The sequence below is a fragment of the Homo sapiens genome, chromosome 8 (genome assembly GCF_000001405.40).
Source record: "Homo sapiens chromosome 8, GRCh38.p14 Primary Assembly".
NCBI lineage: Eukaryota > Metazoa > Chordata > Mammalia > Primates > Hominidae > Homo > Homo sapiens.
The window spans coordinates 129862534-129878825 of NC_000008.11; the positions used below are offsets into that span (position 1 = coordinate 129862534).

Here is a 16292-nt window from a genome sequence, read left to right on the forward strand (position 1 = left end):
GATCTCGGCTCTCTACAACCTCTGCCTCCCAGGTTCAAGTGATTCTCCTGCCTCAGCCTCCCAAGTAGCTGGGACTACAGGCACGCGCCACCACACCCAGCTGAATTTTTTTATTTTTAGTAGAGATGGGGTTTCGCCATGTTGGCCAGGCTGGTCTCGAACTCCTGACCTCAGGTGATCCACCCACCTTGGCCTCCCAAAGTGCTGGGATTATAGGCGTGAGCCACCACGCACGGCTGAGTGTTGAATATTCTATATTGAGTGCTAAGGGTGAGTCTTCTCAACTCCACAGACACTCCATAGGAGTGCTAAGAGTGGGTCTTCTCAGCTCCATAGATACTTCAACCTTAGTTAGATACATAACTAACATAATACATTCTTAGTTATCCTTGCAATAGATATGAACATAATGAAAATTTAAAAATGATCCAATATGTTTGTTAAATATTTTATGCCTTGGTGCCCAGCAGATCCACAAAAAAAAATATTGCATATGTTTCCCATATCACAGAGTCTCTTAGTATTTCTTTGTCAAAGAATTATTTTAGCAGTAGAAAAGAAAACTCAAAAAGTAAGACAATAAGATGCCAACTCTGGGAACAGGCTAAGAAATTTCCAATAATTAAAATTCCAGGGTCTAAACTAGCATTAAGAAAACTACCTACGACTTAAGAACCTAAATCAAGCTGAAACTGTGATTTAAGAATTGTCAGCTGGGCGCCGTGGCTCACGCCTGTAATCCCAGCACTTTGGGAGGCTGAGGCAGGCGGATCACAAGGTCAGGAGTTCGAGACCAGCTTGACCAATGTGGTGAAACCCCGTCTCTACCAAAAATACAAAAATTAGTCAGGTGTGGTGGTGTGTGCCTGTAATCCCAGTTACTCAGGAGGCTGAGACAGGAGAATTGCTTGAACCCGGGAAGTGGAGGCTGCAGTGAGCCGAGATCATGCCATTGCCCTCTAGCCTGGGTGATAGAGCGAGACTCTGTCTTAAAAAAAAAAAAAAGAAAATACAAAAAAGAAGAATTGTCACAGATACTTATTCTCTATAACTAAAATCCTATCCTATTCTAGATAATAACTTTTCTCAGGCTTTCCTGAGTAAGATGAAAAACTAGTTTCAAATCTGAAAGGGAAGAAAATATAATCTAGAGATCCTTAATATAAATGACTTCTTCTATACCCAGTCTTTCAAATCATTAAGTAATCTTTTCTGAATAGAGGGTTATTTCCAAAAATACATATTTTTTTGTCTTTATCTTTCATTTGCCCATAGATGTTTTTTGTACTCCTTTACAGAAGTTAACATGTTCTTCAACAACCTGATTTACTTTCTCTAACATCTTGAAACAAACTAAACATACCATCTGAAATTCAGAACTAAAGCAGGGACCTGCTTATAAACACTACCAAGAGGTTATATGACATGTCTCAATACTCCCAAGGCACTAGTATTCTGACTCCATCCACACAAAAAACAAAAATTCAGGAAAGCAAAATAAAATTGAACCCAGACAGATCTAACGGATGCTCTGAACAAATTAGCTGCAAACTGAATTAATGGGCTATATACTGGTTAAGCAATTTACTTTACAAGCTTGGCACCATTTTCAAATTGATGTTTTATTCAATATTTTTAAATGATGCTTAAACCCATTAGAAGCCTGAAGTCAATCCTACTTATGTCATTAATCTAGAAATATTGTAACATTGAAGAAAATCTGACATTACAACATGTAACAATCCTTTGTTCACATTCTATAGTAATGAGAACATCTCAAAGAGACCTTGATATGCTGATATAGATGAAAAAAAATCCTTTGGCCGCAGGCCCAGACTTGGTAATGATTTCTATCAGGTAGTAAAAATTTGTTTCTTGTATTTGTTATTCAGCAGACAAGTAAATAAGCCTTTCTGTCTGGTGGCAGCCATCAAATAAGCCAAGATGGGTACACACAAGTCCATCCAGGAGGCATGGAGGAAGAAGTAGTTTGATGTAGTGTGCTTTCACTGATGGCAGTACCATCAGCTCTCTTCTCTCCACAGAGATCCTGGCCCCACCCAGCCCAATAAAGTGTGCAGACTAGGCCACACAAGGTTATGTCATATATAGGATTTGTGTGTACTGTGGCGGCTGAAAATGCCCAGTTCCTAAGGGTGCAATGTATGGGTAGCCTGTCCTTTATGGTGGTAATCTGCTGAAGTTTGCTCAAAGCCTTCGGTACATTGCTAAGGAGTGAGCTGGACACCACTGTGGGGCCGCGTCCTGAATTCTTACTGGGTTGGTGAAGATTCCACGTACACATTTTTGAGGTTTTCCTCATTGATCAATTCCATAAAGCTATAGAAGAAGTCCTGACACCCAACAGATCACCATACCAGTCTATAAGCACAGGGTGATGCGTGGGCTGACATCTGCCAGCTGAAAGAGCAATGGCTTGGATGGTCCCTAAATTCCACAAAACTATGTCTGGTTCTTGCCATGCAGCTTGGAGAAGGTAGAATGCTCTCCAGCTCCACCTTCACCACTAATATATGTTTGTATAATTAATATCTAATAAACAATTTAGGATAGTTATGTCTGTTTACAGGTGTTACTTTTCAAAAACAGTCTGCAGATTATTTCATGAATGCTTTGTCAAATCATAGAACTTAAAGTGATAGTATGTCTTCTTTCTAGTAAGATAAACTTTGGAGTTACATGTCAAGTGTTTAAAACATGCTGTGTGGTGCAGGAGGTTTAAAATAAATTCTTTAACTAGCTCTGCAGATTTGTCTGGTGCATGTGATTAATCTTACAGCTTTATTGGGGTGATGGCAACACTGTGCTGGTTTACTTTCAAGTGGCTGGGTTCAGCAAGTACAAACTTTTTTAGTTTTGCTTTAGACATTTGCAGAGTGGGAGAAGGATACCTTAACCCTATGTCGTGATCATACGTAGAAAAACATGGACTCAAATAGAATCCACATTTTTGAATTTAATCTATTGTTTCATTTGTATGACTCCTGCTTCTGAGAGAAAAGTTTCCAAAAATGCCATCATTTCTCAGAATAATAAACGTGTTGCAAGAGGCTTTTCTTAGGAATGAAACAAATCTGGGTTAACCTAAACAAAACTGCCTCAGTCTCCACAGTAGCATTTTAAGTTCACATAAAAGTTCCAATGCCATAGCTCTATAGAAATCAATGGATAGTAGTCAGTAAGGCTATTTACACTGGCGTATTGTGAAACTGAATGTTATATAAATATGAATTATTAACCTTAACTTTTACAAACTACTAATCAATGCTAGGATGGGAAGCCAGTAAGCTTTAGATAAATACCTTTCAAGTGTGAGGGTAGAAAAAGTCAACTTTGATCAAGTTTTTAAAATATTTATCAGTAACACTAATTTGTGACCATTATGAATCCCTTCAGCCACATCGGGGAAAATAGTTGGCTATTCAGAAGCATGTACATCATTCTTAGACCAGTTAGCCTTACAAATAAAAACATCTTGAGCCAACCCACTCTGTCCACACTCACAGGCTACAGAGAAAAGTCATAATTGAAGCCAGTATAAGTTCCTGGTTTCCAATCTAACCGTATGTGTTGTGTGCAGTTATTTTTCTTGTCCCTGCTCAAACTACCCTAAAATCCTTATCATTCAACAAAGCTGGAACATCAGGTATGTGCCAACATTTACATACCACCACAATGCATTGCATTTGTTTTTATCACGTTTTTCCATAGACGAGGCTACTGTCTACCAGGGTAAATTTGAGTGTGAAGGAAATGCAGAAAAGGAATTGCACAATTCTTCTCAATTCTGGATTTGCTGGCTTTAATTTAAATACTGGTTTCTATGGACTAATTTTTCTCCTATCTTCTCTATGGGATTCAAAAGGCTTGGTTAACTGATTTCCAGGGAATATTCATAGAAAGTTCACAGAAGTTCTTGAGATCTAAATTCCTTTCTACTAAAAAAAAAAATAATAATAACTTAAATCACACATTTTGACTGTATATAGAGATTGTTCAACTAAAGGAATAAATGTCTATTAAACTAAAAACAGTAACAACAACAAAAAAGCAAATAGACAAAAGTTAAAATTTTATTTTCTTCTCTTAAAGAAGTCGATCCTATTTTCTTGCAAGGATCTAAAAATGCTTTTCTAAATATCAATTCATTCTCACAATATAAAAATGCTCTAGCAAATGTCACCCATTTTCATAACTGGACAGAGATAACCATTTCCCTGCCCCTGCCTTGCCTAGATTTAGAACTGAAGACACTGGCTGCTCTCTTATAATAAACATTTTATGGTTCTTCCTTATACTTCTAATTCCTTGTCCTCTCACAATAATTTACTCTGTTTGATAAGGTTTTGGGTCAACACCCATTATAGCCCAACATGCAAAAGGGCACTTAGTAAACGTCAATGGTGAGGTTATTACAGAGCAGGTATAACTTATTTTCAAAAATATTAAACTGGCTGGGCACACTGGCTCACGCCTGTAATCCTAGCACTTTGGGACGCTGAGACAGAAGGATCGCTTGAGGCCAGGAGTTCAAGACCAGTCTCGGCAACACAGCAAGTCTGTCTCTCTGTCTCTATTGATTTATTTTGATGGAGTTTCACTCTTGTTGCCCAGGCTGGAGTGCAATGGTGCAATCTCAGCTCACTGTAACCTCCACCACCCAGGTACAAGTGATTCTCTTGTCTCAGACTCCCAAGTAGCTCGAATTACAGGCATGTGCCACCACACCTGGCTTTTTTTTTTTTTTTTTAGTAGAGATGCGGTTTTACTATGTTAATCAGGCTGGTCTTGAACCCCTGATCTCAGGTGATACACCTGTCTTGGCCTCCCAAAGTGCTAGGATTACAGGGTGTGTGCCACCAATTTGGCTATTTATTTTTTTAAAATTTACAAAAAAAAAGTTAAAATGGTTAGGGACATATTACATTAATGGAAAGTACTTATTTCCCTCTAGGTGGTTAATCCTAGACAATAAGCATTGTTTATTTAATAGATTCTATCTTAAATCAAATTTTATTCTATTTAATAATGTTTAAAAAATTATTTAAAGTAAAATATATTAATATATAATTCAACATTATTAGTACAGTGATAATAAGAAAACTCTCAGTTCATTTTAGCTGTGTATCAGACACGGTGCTATGCTGTTTACATGGATTGTCTAATTTTATCTTCATAATAACGCTGTGAATTGCTTCCACATTTTTGCTACTATGAATAAGGCGGCCATACCAGTTTTTACATTGACATTTCCTCTTAAACTAGTTGTTTGCAATGTTTTATAAAATATAAGTACCTGGTGCAAGAGCACAAACAATTTTATAGTTTTTTTTTAAATATACTTCAAACTGACCTCCAAAAAGACTACCCATTTTACAATACTTCTTGCACTAACTGAGATTACTGTTTCTTCACAAACCAACCAAAACTTCTTCACAGTGATGTGCACTTACTAGCAAAGCTGACCATTTTTTCTGTTGTCTGTGCTTTTTTATAGGTAGAATAGTTGGCTGCTCTAAGTCTTATTAATTAACACTATTAGCAATTTAATTATTGACCTATGACTCTTGTAACACATCAGTTATTTGTATATTTGGTGTATATTCATCTTTTATTTGTACATTCCTTTCTTAATTTGTTTCTCTACTCTTCAGAAATCTTTTCTCTTTGTATCATTAAACCTGCATCAACTTCTCAACAAAAATTTCAACTGCTTCAATAGTTACATATTTGTCCCCGATCTACAGTAGATTTAAATGCAGCTTTTCCGTTTTTTAGCTTACATATTTTGTATTTCAATGCCTATTTCTCTTTTATTACTTATCAATGTTTAACAATGGTACCTTTATAAGTTGTTTCAAGCCTGGTAAGATGAATTACTTACCATTGCTTTTTACTTTTCCCTTATATTTTGGTGTTCTTCAATGTTATTTTTCTATGTAAACTTTCTCTTTTCTTTTAAACTTGGAGACACTTACTTACTTTCTCACATCACCAATCATGGACTATTTTTGAGTGAACTATGCGTGGCTATGTCTTGTATTTCCTCAGGAAAACAGCACTACTGAGTGACTACGGTATCCTATGCAAAACTTCAATCTTTGGTCATAGCATTACGAGATCCTGGTTTCCCAGCCCCAGAAAGTCTCTTTGATATATCCTATATATAAACTTTTCTACCACTATACTCTATTCCAAAAGATTACAAATGAATCTTAATATGCATCCAATCAAATATATAAACAGACTTTAGAGAAAACACTATTATTATTTTATTGTAGAAAGCCTTCCCACACACAGAAGCAGAATAATTCTCCCAATGGGAAGTACTGCAATTAAAAAAAAAAAAAAAAAAAACCCGGGCTGGGCACAGTGGCTCATACCTATAATCCTAGCACTTTGGGAGGCTGAGGCGGGAGGACTGCTTGAGGCCAAGAGTTCAAGACCAACTTGGCCAACAGAGCGAAACCCCATTAAAAAAAAGCCTAAGAGTTCTATATTTAAAAAAAAAAAAAAAGAAGAAAAAAAAATAAAGAAGAAAGAAAAAAAGGCTGGGCGCGGTGGTTCACGCCTGTAATCCCAGCACTTTGGGAGGCGGAGGTGGGTGGATCACATGAGGTCAGGAGTTTGAGACCAGCCTGGCCAACATGGTGAAAGCCCATCTCTACTAAAAATACAAAAATTAGCTGGGCATGGTGGTGCATGCCTGTAATCCCAGCTACTCGGGAGGCTGAGGCAGAATTGCTTGAACCTGGGAGGTGGAGGTTGCTGAGCCGAGATTGTGCCACTGCACTCCAGCCTGGGTGACAAGAGTAAAACTCTGCCTCAAAAAAAAAAAAAAAAAAAAAAATCAAACAGGTAATGAATAGTGTTTGTCTCTATAGCGAGTAAGATTTTTCTCTTCATAACAACAAGCTTTAAAGAAGTTTAATGACCTAACACTTATAAACAATTTAAACTAATTTGTAGCACTGATAACCATCATAAAAAATTTTACCAATTAATTAAGATCCTACTAAATCATTTAAATCTTTCACTTCCACAAATGTTTGATTTTTCAAAATACGTTTAAATGTTTAGAGAACTTGAATTTCACAGAAATGCTTATATGCCTTAGTTACTGAAATCTTAAGGTTTTACTTAAGCCAATAACAATGCCAAGACCAAAGCCCTTGTATTTATTTGTTCAACAGCTAACCGCTTACTAAGTGCTGTAAGTTTACAATGTACTAGGTGCTGATAATAACAAAATATATAAGAAACCAGGTTTACCTTCCTCAAGCTGGAAGTACAGTGGTACAGAGATAAACACTCAATAGTAATGTTTTACCTCCCCCCCGCCCAAAAAAAGGAATGGTTCCCACAAAAGAAATGTGTATAATGTGGGCAAAAGAGTAAGAGGAAGTAGGAGATTATGGGGGGGTGGGGGGAGGGGGGGCGTTGAAGAAAAAAATGAAAGGAAGGTCATTCCAGACAAAAACAAAGGAAGGGTGCATATCAACAAACAGAATTCACACCAGAATTTCCCTCAGTTAATGACACTACGATCTGCTAATGTAAAATAAAAACAAGGGCCAGGCATGGTGGCTCATGCCTGTAATTCCAACACTTTGGGAGGCCAAAGCAGGTTGGGGCGGGGCGGGGGATCACTTGAGGCCAGGAGTTCAAGACCAGCCTCGGCAACATGGCAAACCCTGCCTCTATTTGGCAGGGGATCAGCCAGGCATGGTGGTGAGTGCCAGCTACTTGGGCGACTGAGGCAAGACGATCACTTGAGCCCAGCAGGTTGAGGCTGTAGTGAGCTGTGGTTGCACCACTGCACTCCGGCAGGGTGACGGAGCTAAACCCTGTCTCAAAATAAAATAAACACCATGGAATCATTTAACTCTCTCTCTTCCCTTGCCCTAAACATTTGGTCAATCACCAACACATGTTTTGAATCACCACCTTCTGGTGTCTGCACTTGATTCTGCCTTCACTAGTACTCCAATGTCAGAAGAGAAATCAAGGTGGATATGGAATGTATGCCCCATATGGAATGTATGCCCCAAAGAGTGACCCTGATGACCTCTGCACTCTTTGTTATAGACAATAATAAACAAAACAGAGGATGGGAAGAATCAAGAAACACAGCACGGGCAATGGCTTCAAGAAATGCAGTAATGAGAAGGGGAGAGATGAAGGCCCAGGGGACAGGGAGTTCCTCTGTGTAGTTCTGGACACCTAAACATGGATATGCTACGGGGAAGAATTCAGTAAAAGAAAAAAGATAGAAGATTTAATTAAGAGAAGAAGAAATAATTAAAAGAGTAAAGTTTCAGAACAGGATGAAGAACAAAGGTAAAGAAGTCAGTCTTGGAAAGAAGCAAGGACACAGCTTCTTCTGAAAAACAAAAGAAACAAAAAATGAGATGAATGCAAACCTGAAAAAGTTCAGCAGTTTGGGAGAGGAAAGTTGAGGGAGACCACACTACATATTTTCTTTGTGATGTAAAGTCATGGGGAAGGTGTACTGACTGCAAGGATGATTTCCACTTTCTCCTAGGAAGCACCACATAAATACTGCAAATTTCAGGTATAAGAGCAACCCAAAAAGTAAATAACATTTTCTTAATTTACAAAAACTACCTATTTATGGAACACAGTTTTTCCTTTTATGCTCATTTCACTGCAATCACTTCTGAAACAATGCCAAGTGAGCATCCTTCAAATATAATACTTAATATGAAATATAGAATTCTGAAGTCTAGAAAACAAGAGATTACAAAGAGGTGGGACAGTAAGTTTCAGTTAACTAGAAAATACATAAATGCGCTTTACCTCTCGTATTTCGTGGCCAGCTCCTCTGTATGACTGCAAGTCCTCCAAGATGCCTTCTGCATCTTTTAATACTACATTCACCTGATTATAAATTTCCTTCTCAGACTCTGTAGGCTGGGCATCTAAACAGCAGGAAAGCACAAGAAAATTTACAGTGACATGAATTTTTTAAAATACATGTGTAACTCTAAGCAATTAACAACCCAAATTTCCAAAGATGAGTTAATTCTAGTTAATGTTAACTTTGAACTTTTAAAGAAAAGACTAATACTTTTTCCATAGTCCTACATTTAAATGACTAGTTTCAAGTACATAGATATTACAGAAAACAAGGGAACACCAAACATTATTAACTTAGTTTAAGTTCCAAATTAGGACTTGGTATATTAAACCAATCTGAGAATTATAATTAAAATTTTTAATTGTGATAGTTTTAACAATCACTTTTTCTACTACATTCATCACTATCACTGTAAATGCATCAGAAATCACAGATTTTAATGCAAAAGAAAGCCTACTAAAACATGTTGCTCATGTATAGTTTAAGACAAACTATTTTTATTTTCCTATAAAGTTCATTTTACTTTTAATGACTGAGTTTTGATATAAAAAAGTAAAAAAACTTTAATAGTTTTTAGGTGCTCACCCCCTTTTCCAGGAATCACTTCGAAAGTGTCTCAACATATATGATATTATAGGTTAAAGAAGAGAGGATATATATATCTAACAACAAACCCAAGAGAGTATCACTGAACTATTCTGCTGATGAACAGAAGGTCAAGAATCCTGTGCAGAGGATTTCAAGTTATAAAACTGCTCCACAATTACTCAGCTGCTGAAAACTAGATACTTTAAGCTACACTACAATACTACTACTGAAATTTTGAAATACTAAAGAAAATCTGAGTTCCTACACACTTGGGAGTAAGAGAAAAATGAAGGAAGAATTACAGTTATAAAAAGCAGAATCAAGGACACAAACATATGGGCATTTTCACCACCTGTGGTGTTAGCCACAAAACATATGTTAATGAATGACTAAATCTGGATTTCTCTCTGCTTGACTCAAGTTAACAGAAATCTTGCTTTTAATAATACTGGTCATTTGTTTCTCTAAGGACAAATCTTTTATATTTTAAGGAAAAAGGTGGACTCTAAGAGGAAATGAAGGTTTCTTTACAAATCTTTCCAACTAGGCCACATTCAGCACCACAGGTAAGGCATAAAGCACTTAAAATCATAAACATTATGATTATCATATTTTAGAGAAAAATGACTGGCAGAATTCCTCCATGCTAAAATTTTCTCTTATGAGGGAAAAGGAATCAGTCCAAATTTATAAGATGAAGTAAGAACGTTTTTAATACTATCACACTGGTCTTTTAAGTTTAAAAATATTTTAACAAACAAGAAGGTTTTTGGTAAATCTTTGTCTACCAATCATATAAAATTAGTTAACTAGACTTTTCTGCTCCTTTTCACCTCACCACAAATACACAATGATTTCTTTATTCCTTTACTTAGAACATTGTAAAGAAACTTTGTTTACACGTGAAACTGGGAGTAAAGATCCCTAAAAACGGTAACGTTATTTTGTGCTTGGAGCAAGTCATAATTCAATTCTACCTAATAAACCTGCCAAATAGTCAAAAATATACCACATTTTTTTTAAAATTCAATAATTACATTACCAAATTTTAAACTCAACATATGTAAAACAGTACTACAGCAACAATAAAGTAACATTCATATGTAAAGTCAACTTAAGAATGTGTTTACATATCTGTTCCCTTATTTTTCAAATTTCTTTTCAGAAATCATTTTTTAGGAGGAAAATACTGTGACAAAATAATTATACAAGAGGAGCCAATTGAAAAATTAAAAAGACTCTCTATCCAAGGCTACAAAGGTATTATCACTAGGAACAAATACTGATATTGCAACTAAATGGTTAGCTTTCTTATAGATCAAGCTTTGCTATTTAGCAGTAATAATTTACTGCTAAATATTTTACATTTAGCCAGACCATATTTTCCAATGTAATAGTCAGACATACACTCTTTTTAAAAAAGCACACTTCATAACTTTTATACTTACATCAGATTCAGTAGAGAAAAATATGTTTTACATGCAAAAAACGACAGTCTTACACTTTTTCATATGGAATTGTGAAACTACAGACATAACATCAATAGTAGACACGTATTTAGTTTGAATTCATGAAGTGGGAATTCATGACAAAGGACAATAGTTTAGCTATTATATATCAAAGGTATCTGTGAAGTTTGAAAATGCTAGACTATGTATTTTAGGTGTGGTGACTAGCTGTTAACATAAAAATGTGACACTGAGACTTAACATACAAACGAAACATTATCAAGTAGACTTAAGTAGACCTTGTAAGTGGTTAATAACTAGTAAAGGTTTAATAAGTACCAAGAAATTTAAAAATAGAGGAGAAGATTTAAGTTTCCCTTTAGGGTGAGAAAAACACCCAGCACCACAATGATTAAACATTTTTTAGACTGTCACAGGAAAGTCACATTTATAATTTTGAAAGCTGCTGAAGACTGCTATAGAAATGAAGACAAACAGAAAATAGCAGACAAGTAAGCACTACTTTACTGAAAGCAAGTCATGCAAAAGGGTGAAATACTAGGAAGGGGGAAAAGCTGTATAAAACAAAGCTTTTTATTTTATTTTTTTCAAAAAACGGTACTATATAATGCAACCAAGACTTGTCACTTTGATTTTCCATAGAAAAAAATGGCTTTACTATTTAAAAAAAAAGTACCATTTAGTCAGCTTACAAAAGGACATGCAAAATTGCAAAATAATGTATCTACTACTGAGGGTAGACATATTCATTACTCATCAAGCTTAGTTTTTAAAGCTGTTCAAGGGAAATTAAGGCATGTTTCAATTGTTCTTATTGAAGGTAAATTAAAAATTTTATTAACTTCACACTAATTTCTTATAGGGTGGAGGGTAGAAAAAGAGTCAATATAACTGCTAAAATTGAAGTCGTTGTAATATAAAAAGAAGCAAAGATTAACTATGAAATGAAAAAATAAAAAGTCAAGATAAAAATTATAATTGTGATAAGGGGTCTTTCTGCTTTAATTTTACATTAATTCACTTAATAAACCTACGCAATCTATCTCTGTAAGTTACATCAAGACAGAGACCAGAATGTACAGTATGTACCACTGGTACATCTGTAAACTCAGTACCTAGATTTTCTGTAATACATTTTGAATGAATGAGAGGGTACAGAGACATAAATAAGCCTCTGGCATGAATTAAAGGAGACTACTATGCTTTTTGATCTCTGAATAACTATGATCCTATATCATTTTTGAAAAATAAATATAAGAAAGATGACACCAGAATAAAGATATTTCAAAGTACAGGGCAAAACCAACTGAAACTATGCAAGAGATAAATGAAAAAATAAGTTAGAGTAGGTCCCAATATTTCTAAATGATAAGGGGGAAACAAGTAACACAAAGGACACAAGAACTATAGAGGAAATGCATGACTCAATGGAAAGGCACTATAACAGAATCAGAGAAAATATACTCTATTTCTCCCTTAACAAATGACTACCTCTATTTACTCTCCTATTTTGATTTCCCTGGAGGTAAGTGAGTCAAGTTTAAAAAATACTTACTGAACTTCTATCATTTAAAAAGCACTATGCTAAGATTGGGAAAGGACACAAAACTAAATACAAGTCTCTTTTCTCCCAAGAACTAGAATTTAGTGAGCTAGCAGTTATGGAAGTTACTGAGGCTAAAGATTTGTCATTAGAATAAGCTATAAATTAACACTGTTGTTATAAAATAGGAAATTCCAACAACTAGAAGAGGCTATGCAGGCCCCCATTCAGTGCTTTTTTTTTTTTTCAAAGACAGTTTCACTCTGCTACTCAAGGTGGAGTGCAGTAGAGCAAATCACAGCTCACTGCAAGGGCACACATCACTATTCCCAGCTAATTAAAAAATTTTTTTTTTCATACAGATAGAGTCTTGCCATGTTGCCCAGACTGGTCTCAAATTCCTTGAATCAAGTGATCCTTTTGCTGTGGCCTCCCAAAGTGCTGGAATTACAGCCATGAGCCACTGCACCTAGCTCGATTGAGTGCTTTTTATATGCTGTCAATAGCATAACTGCTGCCAAATTTTATGGAGCAATTTTGGGCTTATATTTTAACTGAACTATTATTAAATAAAAACAAAATAAAATCTTATCATATAGGTGTAATCTGTTCTAAGGAAAAAATCCTTCTATCAAGACTAAACGTCTAACTGAATACAGAATGACATTTCATGCCTTAAGGTCTCTGTCCATGTTGTTCCTTCTTTCTACTGTCCTTTACTGTATTAGTTCAAAACATTCTAATTCACTCTCCAAAACCCAATTCAAACATCACCATCAGAAAGTCTTCCATGATGGGCCAGGTGTGGTGGCCCACACCTGTAATCCCAGCACTTTGGGAGGCTGAGGCAGGTGGATCACCTGAGGTCAGGAGTTTTAGACCAGCCTGGCCAACATGGTGAAACCCCATCTCTACTAAAAATAAAAAAATTAGCTGGGTGTGGTGCTGCATGCCTGTAATCCCAGCTACTCGGGAGGCTGAGGTAGGAGAATCACTTGAACCCAGAAGTGGAGAATGCAGTGAGCCAAGATCATGCCATTGCACTCCAGCTTGGGTGACGGAGTGAGACTCCATCTCAAGAAAAAAAAAAAAAGGTCTTCCATGATGATTCTCAATCTACTCCCTGCCATTTAAAGTTAGTATCTTCATGAGCTACACGTTGAAAATAAATAATTTAAGTAAAACTGAGTTTTCTGGCAGGTGGGCACCTGTAATTCCAGCTACTTTTGGGTACTGAGGTGAAAGGGTCACTTCAGCCTGGGAGGTCAAAGCTGCAGTGAGCTGAGATCATGCCGCTGCACTCCAGCCTGGGCGACAGAGACTGACCCTGTCTCAAAAACAAAACAAAACAAAATTATGAGCTTTCGTGTCTATCCTCTCCTACTAGATTGAGAGCTTCCAGCATGTATGGGTTGTATCTTAGTTATTTTGCAACCCCAGCACCTACTGGCTGGTATACAGGAGGCAAGGCATAAATGTATGTTGAACTGAAGTGAAAAACAGTTACAGGGGTCATGAGAGGAGTAAATTAAAGGAATAATGATTTACTTTAAAGACAATCTTAATTTTGTAAACTACAAGATTCCATTAAATTACATTTCAAATGCACTAGAGTATGTCATTTGTATATAATATGATACAAATAGCGAGGTAATCTGCATGAATTATTTCTGTAGTCACCCAACTGCAGAGACATATTGGGTCACCCAACTGCAGAGACATATTGGGTCACCCAACTGCAGAGACATATTGGGATAGACTTAATCAATCAGATTAATAAAACAGTAAAACTAAATTACTCTGGTGACATGAATATTAAAGTGCATCTAGAAATAAACAATGTAGTACTAATTACTCTAGCAAAAATAATGTGGCTTTAAGTTATTGAGAATTAGCAGATAACTATGTTGGCAATTTTGAGTCTGGTATAAAGCAGTATAAAACGGTTTAAGAGAACACCCATCTGATAGGCCAAGGTCACCATAGTAGCTTATAAGGTAAGCTTTTACAAACGCATATTTCCAAAAAGAAGAAAAATATACAGAGATTAAATTAAGATAATGCCAATGTTAGAATCAAAAGACAATGTATCTAAAAATCTAAATAAGAAATAACAATGGGTAAACTCTAGTTTGGTATACAGTATGCTGTCACTAAATTTCATTTATAGTATACCAGTAAGTATAAAACCAGAAGATCTACATTGGCTGATATAGGCAACAATATCTGCCTTTACAGTTAACATTTTATATGTATTTCTGCATTATTGGTTATTATTGTTGCTTGCAATTTTTACCTTTTCCTGTCACTATTATTAAATTATAATAATGTACCAGGTGCAGTAGCTCACACCTGTAATCCCAGCACTTTGGAAGGCCAAGGTGGGTGGATCACTTGAGCTCAGGAGTTTGAGACCAGCCTGGGCAACAGAGTGAAACCCCATCTCTACCAAAAATATGAAAAATTAGCTGGGCTTGGTGGCATGTGCCTGTAGTCCCAGCTACTCTGGAGGCTGAGGTGGGAGGATCCCTTGAGCCAGGTAGGCAGAGGTTGCAGTGAGCTAAGATTGCGCCACTGCACTCTAGTCTGGGTGACAGGGTAAGACCTCATATCAAAAAAAAAAAAAAGGTGTGTGTGTGTGTGTGTGTGTGTGTGTGTGTGTATAAAATGATCCAAACACTCCCACAGATTGGAAAGCCAAGACCAAGTAATCTTTTAAATACTACATTTAAATTCATGCTTCCCACTTGACCATAACATAATACTAGGTTTACAAAAAGATCAAGTGCCAAGTCTTGAACAAGATCTTGACTATCAAAGTCAAGATTCTGTAAATGTAAGGAATTTGAGACAAAGAGGAAAAGGGAGACAGAATAGCAGAAAAAGACACAAGACCAAGTTTGAAACAGATGCAAATAAACTAAAATACAGCTCTAATGTAAGTTGCCTCATCTGAAAGAATATCTTCAAGTCAGCAATCTGCTCGACATCCTCAAGCTGATTAAAAGTCATGCTAAACATGCACTTAACATAGCACTGGTAAATTGTTGAGAAGGGTCAAGAAAACTAATATTCATCTAATATTTAACAGTATTTCCCCTAAAAACCCAATTTCCCCTGAAACCCAATTTCACATGGACCTGATATTGATTTACTACTCTTTACTAGCCTGTACACAGTACCCAAACTGTAACAGATCCTTTATAGAAATGGAATAAAAGTAGAAAATAACCAGAGACCACAAATTATTCTACAAAATGGAGATAGCTATAAATTGATGTGTTCATATGAACTGCCATGGTTTAGAATGATTCATAAAATAGAATGAATTACATAAAATTGTAAAAACTAAATTGAAGTTGGAGGAAAAGGCAGTGACTTTCTGGGGTTTAAGTGATTTATTTGTTTTGTTTTTAAAATCAGAAAACATCTTAAATTTTAAGTATATAAAAATACATTCTAACACTTAAAAATATAAGGGATCACATGATTAAAAACCTAAGAAATACCTCTTCACCCTTTCCTAACAATTTTCTATTGATCAGTTAAAATAGCATCATTCACACTAAAACACCAATTTAATAATTCTTCTCAATTTAACAACCAGACAAGCTAAAGCGATATCAACAGCCAAAAAAAGCAAAAGCTTTGCAACATGCACCAAGGTCAATGACACTTACCTGCCACTCTTAGACCATATTACAATAGGTCATGCAACATAAAACAAACAGAAGGCAAATTACTTAAAGGTCTGTGAACCCATTATTTTTCCTTTCATTTAGAGTCAGAA

The 16292-nt window shown here is 35.9% G+C and overlaps 1 protein-coding gene and 2 pseudogenes across 84 annotated transcripts in view, besides 2 other annotated features; 1 reads left to right on the forward strand and 2 right to left on the reverse strand.

The window, feature by feature from the left end:
* The window catches only part of CYRIB (CYFIP related Rac1 interactor B), a 177537-nt gene that overhangs the window by 22941 nt on the left and 138304 nt on the right, over window positions 1–16292 (reverse strand). For 76 of the 84 annotated variants that reach the window (NM_001353269.1, NM_001353270.1, NM_001353245.1 and 73 more), the window contains one exon: window positions 8842–8963. Coding sequence is in view for 50 of the 84 variants with exons in the window: in NM_001353245.1 (NP_001340174.1) it covers window positions 8842–8963 (122 nt within the window). In the remaining 34 variants the exon portion in view is untranslated. Of the gene's footprint in view, window positions 1–8841; window positions 8964–16182; window positions 16191–16292 lie in introns of all 84 variants that reach the window. The other 8 variants (NM_001353280.1, NM_001353278.1, NM_001353272.1 and 5 more) reach the window with 1 other exon arrangement.
* Window positions 1936–2830, forward strand: RPL15P12 (ribosomal protein L15 pseudogene 12; annotated as a pseudogene).
* On the reverse strand, window positions 6057–6183 carry LOC124900265 (uncharacterized; annotated as a pseudogene).
* Window positions 7219–7773: an enhancer, noted in NCBI's record as "H3K27ac-H3K4me1 hESC enhancer chr8:130881998-130882552 (GRCh37/hg19 assembly coordinates)". NCBI's record gives its function as "activates a minimal SCP1, AML or CMV promoter by ChIP-STARR-seq in naive H9 embryonic stem cells {active_cell/tissue: H9 hESC(naive)}" and the evidence as "EXISTENCE:reporter gene assay evidence [ECO:0000049][PMID:30033119]".
* Window positions 7774–8326: an enhancer, noted in NCBI's record as "H3K27ac-H3K4me1 hESC enhancer chr8:130882553-130883105 (GRCh37/hg19 assembly coordinates)". NCBI's record gives its function as "activates a minimal SCP1, AML or CMV promoter by ChIP-STARR-seq in naive H9 embryonic stem cells {active_cell/tissue: H9 hESC(naive)}" and the evidence as "EXISTENCE:reporter gene assay evidence [ECO:0000049][PMID:30033119]".